At 35.7% G+C, this 15051-nt stretch overlaps 1 long non-coding RNA gene and 3 pseudogenes across 1 annotated transcript; 3 read left to right on the plus strand and 1 right to left on the minus strand.

Annotated features, from left to right (window-relative positions):
* Positions 1 to 1205: 1205 nt before the first annotated feature.
* Positions 1206 to 11553, plus strand: LOC105377894 (uncharacterized). Its single transcript, XR_942783.3, has 3 exons — positions 1206 to 1496; positions 2518 to 2645; positions 11086 to 11553. It is a non-coding gene; the product is annotated as an uncharacterized LOC105377894 (long non-coding RNA).
* Positions 8341 to 8601, plus strand: MTATP6P25 (MT-ATP6 pseudogene 25; annotated as a pseudogene).
* On the plus strand, positions 8690 to 8855 carry MTND4LP19 (MT-ND4L pseudogene 19; annotated as a pseudogene).
* Positions 8813 to 9036, minus strand: MTCO1P56 (MT-CO1 pseudogene 56; annotated as a pseudogene).
* Positions 11554 to 15051: the final 3498 nt, after the last annotated feature.

Genomic DNA, 15051 nt, shown 5'->3' on the forward strand with positions numbered 1-15051 from the left:
ACACAATGGTTTCTAGCGGAGAGGCAAGGTGATCCTAGATTCTGTCATAAAACTTAAATAAAACAATTCATAAATTGTTACTTTCAGCACCCCAAACTGAATGTGCTATGCAATTTCAGTTGGTTAACCAGACACTCTATACATACTGTATGTAAAAGTAGATGCAAAGGGTGCTGTCCTATCGGTGCTAATATTTACAATCAATTGAGAGGACGTAGTACCTTAGTAAATGAGAGTTTAGGAATAAAAACTATTGTCAATTTGATTTTCCTTTGATTGAGTACATGGATAGGCTAGTTGGATGGCCAGGGTCTAAAATGAATGCCATTTTTTAATATCTTTACTAAAAATTTACTTTGGAAAGTGTATGTTTATGTACTTAGTTATTTAAAACGCTATTGTGTAGAAAAGGGAAGTTCTAGTTCAATCCTGCTCCTACTTCAAAATTTACAGCAAAAAAAATTAACTTATAAAGTGTTAGATCCGGGAATAACTAAAGATGCAACTTCCTCACAAATCAAACTATTAATATTAACAATAGGAATGTGAATTCATATTAATGTTTGTAATTTATATTATCAAGCATTTTCCAGTAGAAAAATTATTGCATACTTAGGAGTCAGAGAACCCTGTGTTCTAATTCTAGTTCTCCTACTTATCATCTGAACTTCTTAACTCTTAAAATGGGGATAATGATTATTTTTACCTTGAAGTGTTTTGTAAAAAAGTGTATGAGCTATCCGTAAAGCATTTAACATTCTGCCTGGGTCTCAGTGCTTGCTACCGCCACACGAACATAGCACTTATACTATATTATCATCTACTTGGGAGACATAGCTGATACTAATAACATCAAAGATTTTAGTTTAAATAAAATAGGGATTAGGACTGGCCATAAAAATGGAGCGATACCATCAAGGGATTTCCTGATTAACTTCTATTAAGATAGATAGGGATTCCAATATGGCATGGTGTAAAATATGCTAAAGCAATGGCTAACCAGTGAAGAGAAGGTATACCTCTCTACTTTCCCATCAGAATGGAAACAAAAAATTGGTACTATTTTTCTCTATGTCTCTATGTCTGTCTTATTAACATCAAAGAGTGCAATGAAACTGAAACATTATTGTGACATCACCCTGGGTGGACAATTAACTCCACTGGCAACTTGAAAAGGAAAACATTACCAAATATATCATGGTTTCAGTGTCATGGTCTTGCCTCCAGAATTGAAGAAATCATTTAGTACAAATACCTCGTTTGAGAGATGAGGAACCTAAGGTCCTTAGAGAGCATGTAACTGGCCCAGAATAATACAGCTGGCTCATGGCAGACCTGGTGCCCAAGCCAATGCTTTGTCTTACAACCGAACACCCCGGTGTTTCTCAAATGTGCTGCTTTAATGATTTTTTACTAAATGTGTTCCCTTTCTTTTGATAAAACTTCATTGTTTTATGTTTATGTCTACATTACCATATAGTTTTTCCCAGAAAAAGGTAAGTAAAAGTTTCTCTTCCAAATACATTAGCTCTTCCCTAAAACTTGGAAAATGAAAATTATTTTCTGTTATTTCACTGTGAGAACTAGTCTAAAAATTCAGTGTCTGAGAAAAACTAATGAGGAGAAAAACCTTTCCCAAAGAATAAAACAACATTCTCTCATCCTAGAGCTGATTTGGCTAAAAGAAAAAAAAAAGCCATATCTTCCTTTTTGTTATCTCAGGATTCAAATTAAGGCAGAAAATAATATTGGTCACAATATGCTGGTTTTGATATGATACTTCTGTGGGATTATTTTAAAGACAATTCTGGGGATATCAGGCATGACAGAAAAAAGGAAAGAGAAATTAATGAAGCATAAACATAGTCAACAATATTTTTATATTTTAGAACCAGAGAAAGGGCTGAGTAATATTTTATGGGGCTCACTATCAGCCCTAAGATAAAGGCAGAAGGAATGGAAAGGGAGAGTAGCATACAAGGAAACAGAAGCAGTATAATATAATAGAGTGGGAGGGAGAGAAAGTGGAGCAGAGAGAAAAGAATTGCGTATGGAGGGGAGGGGAAGACTGACATAGAAAATGACTTCAGCTGTCACTCAGGGTTACCACTGCCATAACTGCCTACATTGATCTAGCTTAATCCCCTGCAGTATCACTCCCTTTTCTTTTGCTGTCAGGGGCAAAAATATAAGGGGAGGATATTTTTTACTAGATAGATTCCATTCTTACAGAATAGTTAATCTTTAACTGGATTCAAATGGGGTGTTTAATGTCTCAGATAACATGTATTCTAAAGCCAATCCAAATTTTAGAGTGCAGAATTTGCAGTTAAAATACTTCATTGAAACCCCTTTTGACTTATTTTCTTTCTATTGATTTTAAAACTTCAACTAAAGAAAAGATTTTAAAATGCCATCTGCAATATATTTTAAATCTTGCTACAAAAAGCATTGAATCTGTTCATTTCCTAATTGCACAGTCATAATTTCATAGAATTTACTTATCCTTTCTGTTAGGCTTTGTTTATGAATATGTGCAGCATCGATTTATTCAACTTACGGTTTTTAACTGATGAGATCACTAATATGGTTCAACTGGTAAAACATATCGGCAGCCTGCCTGGTATCATGGGTTTGTAATAAAGGTAGGTCTAGATTTCTAGAAGGTGACTCTCAGTCCTCAGTCTTTATGAATTGGGGGGACGAATGATCCAGGCGTTTTTTTTTTTCGCAATAAAAAGAATAAGGTACAAGAATAAGTAAGGAGTCTCCATTCATTGTGAAAATATACATAAAACAAACAATTTTTATTCATACAACACTGAGAACTGAAATGGAAATCCAGTGTAGTGGATCCTTCTATTTTGTTTTTAAACTAGATACACCTAACTCTCTTGCTTCCAGTTATATCCAGACATTCTCGGGGAATCTCCCTTGTTTCTGTAAATAATTAGAACTGTCCCTTTTGCTAGTAAACAACATTAATTTCATTGCATTTTTATAATATAGTCCTTAAGAAAAAGGTGTGTCTAATAGCTTCTGGTATAGACATGAGCTAAGGCCGATATTTTTACTCAGCTCAGTCAAAGAAGAGGTCTTTCTCTCTATTATCTTAGAGACCACATACTACTACTTATTTCATTCTTTTAAAACATCAGATAAGAAATTGGAATTTCATGCTACCCTTCTGCTCTCCTTGAACGTATAGCCAAGCTGCAATGTCCATTGAGCAATTTGGCATGATTTGGACTTTCTCCTCAAACAGGATAAGACTGGAGTAATAAGGAGGGAGCAGGTCAAGATGAAGGAGGATTTGCAGTGCTGTGCTTAGATACATGAACACTGGCCTGCATTATACCTGGCTCTAGTGGAGAGTGTTATTAATCCTCCACTTTAATGAGCACCAAGCTTTCGCACAAGACTTAAAATAAATCTCCTACCAGTGTCCCTTCACAGTGTTACTGCAATTTCATGTGCTTCCATTAGACCTTGCAACTGGTAAAGAAAATGAGACATTTCAAGGCTATTGAACACAGTGAATCAGGGCAAGTTAGTTAATATGGATTTTGTCCATAATTTTGTCAGAAAAGAAAATCGTTTGTGTGTGTGTTTTATATTCTCACTGGTTCTGTGGATCTACCTAATATTAATATCATCTAGTTGCTTATTTTGTTTATGAGAATATTATTATAATAAATTTTCTCTCATGTTACCCAATCTAGATTAGATTCTCAACACTCTGCTCTTGGCCTTTATAGAAATTAATAAATGTTTGATGGACAAATTAATATATTTCAGGTCTTTATCCAGACTTTTGGGAAAAAATAAACATACATTTTAAGAGAAAAAAATTAAGTGTTTTTCTATGGATACAAATATGAAGCAAATATGAGCTTAAGGGGAATCAGAAAAAATATCCCTCACTTAATAAAATTGTGGTAAAATCAAAATAGGTGAATAAAATAAAATGGTTACATTTCAAATGAATGACAGATGATTGAAATTTTATCATCTATTAAATTGGTAATAGCCACTGACTCAGAAATAGGCAACGCATTCCCTCAACAAGGTGACCTGATCTTAAACCTCATGCAGTAGAGGCCTGAAGTTATGGACTGGAAAGAACTTGTGAAGCCTGGGTAGACACTGAGTTTTTAGGAATTACAGAGCCTACATTCATGCTACAAAATTGACTCATTCTCTGGCAATTGGTCTTCTTGCAAAAGCCGAAAACAAATTTTAAAGCTGTAAATTAAGCAATAGAAAAAGTCAGAAGAAATATGTAGCCATGTATTCTAACTTCTAGCCAATTAAGACCAAACATTACAGGTGCCTTTCCTTCATTATGTTAGATTTTCATGTGTTCATTAATTCATTAGTTCATTTCACTGACCTCTTGCTCTTCACTAAAGATCTATGGGGGCCAGGCACAGTCCCAGCACTTTGGGAGGCCAAGGTAGGAGGATTGCTGGAGCCCAGAAGTTTGAGACCAGCCTGGGTAACATAATGAGACCCTGTCTCTATAAAACATAAAAAATTAGCAGGCATAGTGGCTCCTGCCTGTAGTTCCAGCTACTCTGAAGCTTGAGGTAGGAGGATTGCTTGAGCCCAGGAGAGGTAGGTTACAGTGAGCCATGATCTTGCCACTGCACTCCAGCCTGGGTGACAGAGTGAGACCTGTCTCAAAAAAATAAAATCTTCTCCCATGGAGTTTACACTAAATAAGAGGAGAAACAATGCATGTTTGGCTAAGGGAACTTGCTTTTCAGCTGAGAGGAAAGGAGACAGTATTCAGGAAATTGAAATTTATTCAAAAAGTGAAAAATGTAATCCATAGTTAAAACAATATCAAACATCTATTTTCTTTGGATTTTCAGGGAACTACCTTAACTTAGTATCATTTTGGGGAAAACTGAGGGCCAAAAAGAAGATGAGAAGAAGAATAGGAAAAGGTAGCTACTGTAAAAGACTTAGCTGCACGCTTAGGGAGGAAGGTGTTGGTAAATAAACTCCCTCAATTAATGGGTTGAATTGAGAGTCCATGGACACAATTTCTGTTCATTGGGAAAGGAATGGTTTCAGTGACCAAAATTGTAGACTAAAATTATGTTTGATTATGATTCATGCTGTTTAGAAATAAAAATGTCTATAAAGTTATTTAAATGAGTCAAAGCCAAATAACCCTGCCTGCCATGTTTTTGAATAATGAAATAGCAAGCAGTCTTCTTTCCCGATGATTGATATAACTGTACATGTTGTCTTTCATAAGTACCATGACAACCACTAGCTAATCTTTCATATCAGCTTTCAATATAAATTCCAACACAAATATACTAGCTTACCAACAAGTCTTTTGAGAGTTTTAATAGCACAATTTGAAAGGACAGAAACAAATTTTTGCTTTACTGCATTTTTTAGTTTATTTTTTTAAAAATTAGAGATAATATAAAATCAAAATTTAAAAAATCAAAAAATAAAAGAATGCAAAAACAAACAAATGGAAGTTATCTGTCTTTCTATAATATTCTTTTTTAAATTATACTTTAAGTTCTGGGGTACATGTACACAACGTGCAGGTTTATTACATAGGTATACATGTGCCATGTTGGTTTACTGCACCCATCAACTCATCATTTACATTAGTATTTCTCCTAATGCTATCCCTCCCCCATCCCCCCAGCCCCCAACAGGCCCCAGTATATGATGTTCCCCTCCCTGTGTCCATGTGTTCTCATTGTTCAACTCCCACTTATTAGTGAGAACACGCAGTGCCTGGTTTTCTCTTCTTGTGTGACTTTGCTGAGAATGATGGTTTCTAGTTTCATCCATGTCCCTGCAAAGGACAAGAACTCATTCCTTTTATGGCTGCATAGTATTTCATGGTGTATATGTGTCACATTTTCTTTATCTAGTCTGTCATTGATGGGCATTTGGGTTGGCTCCAAGACTTTGCTATTGTGAACATTACTGTGATAAACATACATGTGCATGTGTCTTTATAGTAGAATGATTTATAATCCTTTGGGCATATACCCAGTAATGGGATTGCTGAGTCAAATGATATTTCTGGTGCTAGATCCTTGAGGAATCGCCACACTGTCTTCCACAATGGCTGAACTAGTTTACACTCCCACCAACAATGTAGAAGAATTTCCATTTCTCCGCATTCTCTCCAACATCTGTTGTTTACTGTCTTTTTAATGATTGCCATTCTAACTGGCGTGAGATGATATCTCATTGTGATTTGGATTTTCATTTCTCTAATGACCAGTGATGAGCATTTTTTCATAAGTTTGTTGGCTGCATAAATGTCTTCTTTTGAGAAGTGTCTGTTCATATCATTTGCCCTTTTTTTGATGGGGTTGTGTGTTTATTTCTTGTAAATTAATCTAAGTTATTTGTAGATTCTGGATATTAGCCCTTTGTCAGATGGATAGAATGCAAAAATTTTCTCCCTTTCTGTAAGTTGCCTGTTCACTCTGCTGATAGTTTCTTTTGCTGTGCAGAAACTCTTTAGTTTAATTAGATGCCATTTGTCTATTCTGGGTTTTGTTGTCACTGCTTTTGGTGTTTTAGACGTGAAGTCTTTGCCCATGCCTATGTTCTCAATAGTATTGCCTAGGTTTTCTTCTGGAGTTTTTATGGTTTTAGGTCTTATATTTAAGTGTTTAATCCATCTTGAGTTAATTTTTGTATCAGGTGTAAGGAAGGGATCCAGTTTCAGCTTTCTGTATATGGCTAGCCAGTTTTCCCAACACCATTTATTAAATAGGGAATCCTTTCCCCATTGCTTGTTTTTGTCAGATTTGCCAAAGATCAGATAGTTGTAGATGTGTGTTGTTATTTCTGAGGCCTCTGTTCTGCTCCATTGGTCTATATATCTGTTTTGGTAACAGTACCATGCTGTTTTGGTTACTGTAGCCTTGTAGTATAGTTTGAAGTCAGGTAGTGTGATGCTTCCAGCTTTGTTTTTTGCTAAGGATTGTCTTGGCTATGTGGGCTTTTTTGGTTCCATATGAAATTTAAAGTAATTTTTTCCAATTCTGTGAAGAAAGTCAGTGGTAGCTTGATGGGGATAGCATTGAATCTATAAATTACTTTGGGCAGTATGGCCATTTTCACAGTATTGATTCTTCCTAACAATGAGCATGGAATGTTGTTCCATTTGTTTGTGTCCTCTCTTATTTCCTTGAGCAGTGGTTTGTACTTCTCCTTGAAGAGGTCCTTCACATCCCTTGTAAGTTGGATTCTTAGGTATTTTATTCTCTTTGTAGCAATTGTGAATAGAAGTTCACTCATGATTTGGCTCTCTGTTTGTCTATTATTGGTGTATAGGAATGCCTGTGATTTTTGCACATTGATTTTGTATCCTAAGGCTTTGCTGAAGTTGCATATCAGCTTAAGGAGATTTGGGGCTGAGACGATGGGTTTTTCTAAATATACATTCATGTCCTCTGCAAACAGAGACAATTTGACTTCCTCTTTTCCTAATTGAATACCCTTTATTTCTTTCTCTTGCCTGATTGCTCTTGCCGGAACATCCAATACTATGTTGAATAGGAGCGGTGAGAGAGGGCATCCTTGTCTTGTGCTGGTTTTCAAAGGGATTGCTTCCAGTTTTTGTCCATTCATTATGATATTGGCTGTGGGTTTGTCATAAATAGCTCTTATTATTTTGAGATACGTTCCATCAATACCTAGTTTATTGAGAGTTTTTAGCATGAAGGGCTGTTGAATTTTGTCAAAGGCCTTTTCTGCATCTATTGAGATATTCACGTGGTTTTTGTCGTTGGTTCTGTTTATGTGATGGATTATGTTTATTGATTTACATATCTTGAACCAGGCTTGCATCCCAGGGATGAAGCTGACTTGATCATTGTGGATAAGCTTTTGATGTGCTGCTGGATTCAGTTTGCCAGTATTTTATTGAGGATTTTTGCATCGATGTTCATCAGGGATATTGGTCTAAAATTCTCTTTTTTTGTTTTTGTGTCTCTGCCAGGCTTTGGTATCAGGATGATGCTGGCCTCATAAAATGAGTTAGGGTGGATTCCCTCCTTTTCTATTGATTGGAATAGTTTCAGAAGAAATGATACCAGGTCCTCTTTGTACCTCTGGTAGAATTCGGCTGTGAATTCGTCTGGTCCTGGACTTTTTTTAGTTGGTAGGCTATTAATTATTGCCTCAACTTCAGAACCTGTTATTGATCTATTCAGAGATTTGACTTCTTCCTGTTTAGTCTTGGGAGGGCCAACTAAAAATACTAAACACACACTATCACCTACCTGCCTCACCAAAATTTATTAACATGAAAAATCACAATAAACCCTGAGAGCCAAAATGAACGAAAATTTATTCACTTCATTCATTACCCCCACAATTCTAGGCCTACCTGCTGCAGTACCAATCATCCTATTTCCCCCCTTACTGGTTCCAATTTCCAAATACCTCATCAACAACTGACTAATCACTACCCAACAATGACTAATCCAACTCATCTTAAAACAAATAATAATGATACATAACATTAAGGGACGAACCTGGTCCCTTATACTAATCTCCCTAATTATTTTTATTGCCGCAACTAATTGTGTTCAGTTGATGCAAAGTAGGGTTTTGCAGTCCTTAGTTGTTGCAGAAATTAAGTATTATTAACTTACTAAGGGCTTTGAAGGTTCTCGGTCTATGTTTAACCCTCATTTACATAAACATTACACTAGCATTTACTATCTCACTTTTGGGAATACTAATCTACTGCTCACACCTAATATCCTCCCTGCTATGCCTAGAAGGGATAATGCTATCACTATTCATCATAACTACCCTCACAACTCTTAACACCAATTGACATCATGGCTCAGACTATGCCCATGTATCCGAACGGTTCTTTTTTTCCAGAGTAATATGTTACGATGTGGGAAATTATTCTGAAGCCTGGTAGGATTAGGATATAGACTTCGGGGTGACCAAAGAATCAAAATAGGTGTTGGTACAGGATAGGGTCTCCCCCTCCAGCTGGGTCAAAGAAGGTGCTATTAAGGTTACGGTCTGTTAATAATATGGTAATGTCCAGGAATTTATCCATTTCTTCTAGATTTTCTAGTTTATTTGCATAGAGGTGCTTATAGTATTCTCTGATGGTAGTTTGTATTTCTGTGGGACGGGTGGTGATATCCCCTTTATCATATTTTATTGTGTCTATTTCATTCTTCTCTCTTTTCTTCTTTATTAGTCTGGCTAGCGGTCTATTTTGTTGATCTTTTCAAAAAACCAGTTCCTGGGTTCATTAATTTTTTGAAGGATTTTTTGTGTCTCTATCTCCTTCAGTTCTACTCCGATCTTAGTTATTTCTTGTCTTCTGCTAGTTTTTGAATTTGTTTCCTCTCGCTTCTCTAGTTCTTTTAATTGTGACATTAGGGTGTTGATTTTAGATCTTTCCTGCTTTCTCTTGTGGGCATTTAGTGCTATCAGTTTGCCTCTACACACTGCTTTAAATGTGTCCCAGAGATTCTGGTACGTTGTGTCTTTGTTGTCATTGGTTTCAAAGAACATCTTTATTTCTGCCTTAATTTCGTTATATACCCAGTAGCCATTCAGGAGCAGGTTGTTCAGTTTCCATGTAGTTGAGTGGTTTTGAGTGTGTTTCTTAATTTTGAGTTCTAATTTGATTGCACTGTGCTCTGAGTGACAGTTTGCTGTGATTTCTTTTCTTTTACATTTGCTGGAGTGTTTTACTTCCAATTATGTGGTCAATTTTAGAAAAAGTGCTATGTGGTGCGGAGAAGAATGTATATTCTGTTGATTTGGGGTGGAGAGTTCCGTAGATGTCTATTAAGTCTGCTTGGTCCAGAGCTGAGTTCAAGTCCTGGATATCCTTGATAATTTTCTGTCTCATTGATCTGTCTAATATTGAGAGTGGGGTGTTAAATCCTCCCACTATTATTGTGTGGGAGTCTAGGTCTCTTTGTAGGTCTCTAAGAACTTGCTTTATTAATCTGGGTGCTCCTGTATTGGGTGTATATGTATTTAGGATAGTTAGCTCTTCCTGTTGCATTGTCTTTCCATAATATTCTATGTCAATTAAAACTGCCATTAAGAATTGGTGATTATTCTTTCAGAATGTTTATTTGACTAAACACACCTACACATATGCATTTATGCAGAAGCTATCGAAATAACACACACACATACTGTCAAAGTATATATATATATATATATATAGATATGTCATGAACATCTTTCTATGTCATATTGTACATTATTAAATTGCAGGAAAATGTGCACATAGTATATTTTCACAATAAGTGTGTGAGAATACCTCTTTCTTTTTTCCCCAAATTCACCACAGTTTAATAAATAGATACAAATTATCCATGTTTTTATTTTTTCAACATAAAAAGTTATATTTTAACTTAAATACTAATAACATTAAATAATGCAAAAATATGGAGATGAGTATATAATGATTTTTTTAAAGTAAAAGCTTATTTTAATTGTTACCCAGGGTAAGAAATGTTAAAATTTTGATAAATATCCTCATAAATATTCTCTTTGTCTCCCTCTCTCTCCCCCACTTTCTCTTTTTCTCTTTTTTTTATTTAAATGGGACCATAATGAATTTATCATATTATAAATTATGATCTTTTAAAAATCTACTTATCCCTCTACTAGTTGGTAGGATTGATTTAAGACGAGAGAATTATTTCTCAATAATCAATATGAGGTTATTTTAATTAAACTAAGGTCTTTTATAATAATTTTATAATGTTATGAAAGCTACTATTAGTTATCATAACTCTACCCCTTAAGAAATCTTATATTAATTGCATGCATTAGAATATCATCTGATAAAAGGGGTTTAAACCATATACATTTGTTATCTCACATTACAGAAATTCTGAAGTTAAATATTACCAGGGTTGGTTAATCTAGAAGCTTCTGGGTTGGCTTCTTTGAAAAGTTGCAAAGCTTGACCCTTATAATCCTAAGACAGCTTCACTGTCTCCCGTTTTCACACCTATAGGAAATAACATCTAAAGGCAAGATGAAGCCATATTTTCTCCTATACCTTGCTCTTTTTGTCAGGGAAGAAGTCCTTACTCATAAGCCATTAAGAAGAGTTCTCCTGGAAATCACGCGCCTGTGTCCCAGTTGCAAGAGGCCAGTAAAGTGAATGGCTAGCATTCTGAGTGTCTGCAGTGGGAAGAGTTCTTTCAGCAAAGCAGAAAGGGGAAAAGCAAGTGGTGGTGATCAGCAGTGTCTACTTCAACTTTGAAGCCTAAAACAATGTGAAGTATTTCTAGTTAGAATCACAACATACCACATTTCTCTCTACTGAACACCATTTTACTAGTTGGAATTTTTATCTTGATTGTGAATTCCTTGACACAACCTGCATGAGCATGAGCGTGTCCTTAATTCATTTAAGCTACTTGAGGTAATTCTCAACATAGATATGCTTGTAATTGCTATTCGGTTTTAGTTTGTTTCAGCGATTTTGAGTAAAAAGAGAAAGCAGAATATATGATAATAAATTGGAATTTATTATTAAGATAACGAGAGCACTTTTTTAAAAAATCAACTGGTGATTTATTATCTTAACATGAAAGTGAATGTCAATTTGAGAACTTGCGTTTATACAGACATAATCTAAAAGCTGTGCAATGCATTCTACTTCAGTAATGTCTTTTTATTTGTTATTGTTGTTTTTATATATACTTTCCATCATGCAAATTACACAGATAAGTGATTTTTGACCTTTTATTTTATGTTGGGGTTTTATTTTTTAATATATACCCCTGTAGAGCACAGTAACAACCCATTAAAGAAAAAAAGTAATTATAGCTAATATTTATTGGATCCTTACTCTGCACTGAGTACTAAACTAAGAGCTTTGTGTGTACTCCTTCATTTGAGCCTTGCAACAACCTTCTGTGGTAAGAGCTATTATCTTCATTTTACTGATGGAGAAATTGAGTCTAAGAGGTAAAGTCATCTTATGAAGCCCACATGGCCACAAGTGTTCAAGCCATGTTGCCCCATTTGGACCCGAACAATAAAAATTTGGACTCCACGGTCTTAGCCACTGCCTTATGCTTCTGAGGGTTTTGGTGCAGGACTGACTAGGCACAACTCATTGATACAAATTTATGAATCAGCACATAAATTACAGCTTGTGGACAAAGTTATACATTTTTAAAATTTCACATTGGACATGTTTCAAGGGCAATTTACATAACGTGGGTCACAGTTAATGTGTAAATTATAATGATGGTATTAAATTGGAAATAAAATTACTCATTAGCAAACCTCACTTTCAAAAATTAAGAGAATCCCTAGAGAGATAGCTTTATTTAGATAGCATTGTGATTTTTGCCTGAACTTTGGTAGTATCTGTTTTTTATATCCCCTGGTTTCTATTACGGAAATGCTCTGTTCACTGGGCACTCTACCGTGACCCTCATCCTGTTCAGAAAGATGAGTTCCTTTGATCATTGTTGTATATATTTGTGAAGTATGATATTGCACTATTCTTAAAAGCAGAAGAGCTGAATTTAGCTTGATTTTTTTTTTTTAAACACAAACATCACTGAAAACCATCCAGAAACAACATTGTCTGGTAGACAATAGAAGTTCCCTGCATCCCCAAAGTAGGTCTCTCAGAAGTATGTACGAACTGGAGTTTTTCCTCAAGGGGCTTGAAAACACTGCTGAGGTCTTTCTTTTGAACCTCTTTGAACTAAAAGCATGTTCACAACTGTTTGTGACACATTGTTGTGAAGCTGGTGAGGACACTCCATGCCCACTAATTACCTGAAGCCATAGACCTAGTGGAAGGGTGAAGAGTACTCTAGGTGATGCTCACACAGTAGACAACTATATCCTCTCCAATGCAATAGAGCTAAGAAGGGCATCCAATCTCAGGGAAAACCCAAACTCAGAGATAATGCTGAGAGCAGAACAATGATTCCCAGGCCAGATTCTCTGAGAGATACAAGACCAGAACTGCCTCACACAGAAATGATTGTTACAAAGAAAAAGGTTTACTCTTAGAATGTTTTCACTGAAAACATCACAGAGCTAAGTTTCTCCCATTATCATTAACTGGCATGCAAATAAAGGGCTAATTTTAGGACTAAATTATCTATTATGGGTTTTTGGTTTTATTTTATTTTTACATTTTTTATACTTTAAAATTAGAACCTATAAAATTCAAAACCATACGCAGAATCCATTAAAAAGACAATACCTCAAGAATCCTAGAATGATCAGTTAGTAAGATAACTTGATTCCAAAAATAAATGAAAATATGTACACAAATGTGTAGGTATATATACACACATAAATACAGAATTATAAAACATATTTTTTGGTGTCTCAGATACATTGTGTGCATTTGGTATAAAACTCTTACACATTTGGTCCTTTTATTCATCACTATTGTTAGGATATTGCTATGAATTGAATTGTGTCACCCAAAATTTATATGTTGAAGCAACAACCCCCAATGTTTGTATTCAAAGATAGGGCCTTTAAGGAGGATATTTCTGGTGCCCTTACAATGAGAGAGACACTAGGGATGTGTGTATGCAAGAGAAAATGCCATGTGAGGACACAATGAGAAAATGGCCACCTGCAAGCCAAGGAGAGAGGATCCAAGAAACCAAACCTGCTGACTCCTCAATCTTGAACTTTCAGCCTTCAGAATGGTAAGACATAAATGTCTGCTGTTTAAGCCACCCAGTCTGTGGTATTTTGTTATGGCCACTCTAGCAGACTAAGACAGATATCATTACTTCTAGGCACAATAGGCTTTACTTCAAGCTACAAGTTACATTCTCTAGATTTTACATGTGAGCTCTTTAAGAGTAAATAGCAGTACTACATTACAGTATAAAATGAAAGGAACCTTGAGCATCATCTACTACAACAATTTTGTTTTACATATGAGGAAAATTATGGCATAGAGAGATTAAATGACATGCCCCAAATAATACATTATTTTATTTTTTAATTTTTGTGGGTACATAGTAGGTGCATATATTTGTGAGGTACATAAGATATTTGGATAAGATATTTTGCACACAATGCAGAATAATCACATCACAGCAAATGGGTTAAACACCACTTCAAGCACTTATTATATTTTTTTGTGTTACAAACATTTCAATTATACTCTTAGTTATTTTTAAGTGTGTAATAAATTTTTGTTGACTGTAATCAGCCTGTTGTACTATCAGATACTAGATAATATTCATCCCATATATTTTTGTACTCATTAATCATCCTCATTTTCTCCCCACACCCTTCCCAGCCTCTGCTAAGTCATTCTACTTTCTACATCCATGAGTTTAATTATTTTAAATTCTAGCTCCCACAAATAAGTGAGAACATACAGTTTGCCTTTCCGTGCCTGGCTTATGCAGCTTCACATGATGTCCTCTAATTCCATCCATATCTGTTGCAAATAACAGGATTTCATTCCTCTTTATGGCTGAATAATATTCCATCATATATATGTACCACATTTTCTTTATCCATTTATCTGTTGATGGGCCCTTAGATTGCCTACGAATCTTGGCTATTGTGAATAGTGCTGCAATCTATTAGTGGGACCAGTGCTGGAACCAGACCATGTATGTCCCAATTTAAATACAGCCAGGAATATATCAAGTTGCCTATTGTTTTTTGGAGTCTCACGTAATCTTCAGTGCTGGGAGAAGAGAAGCTAATCATTTCATAATTGCTCATGTGTTGCAGGTTTTTTTTTTTTTTGAGACAGAGCGTCGCTCTGTCGCCCAGGCTGGAGTGCAGTGGCACGATCTCAGCTCACTGCAAGCTCTGCCTCACGGGTGCACGCCATTCTCCTGCCTCAGCCTCCCAAGTAGCTGGGACTACAGGCGCCCACCACCACACCCGGCTAATTTTGTTTTTGTATTTTTAGTAGAGACGGGGTTTCACCATGTTAGCCAGGAAGGTCTTGATTTCCTGACCTCGTGATCCACCCACCTTGACCTCCCAAAGTGCTGGGATTACAGGTGTGAGCCACTG

The sequence above is a fragment of the Homo sapiens genome, chromosome 6 (assembly GCF_000001405.40).
Source record: "Homo sapiens chromosome 6, GRCh38.p14 Primary Assembly".
Classification (NCBI taxonomy): domain Eukaryota; kingdom Metazoa; phylum Chordata; class Mammalia; order Primates; family Hominidae; genus Homo; species Homo sapiens.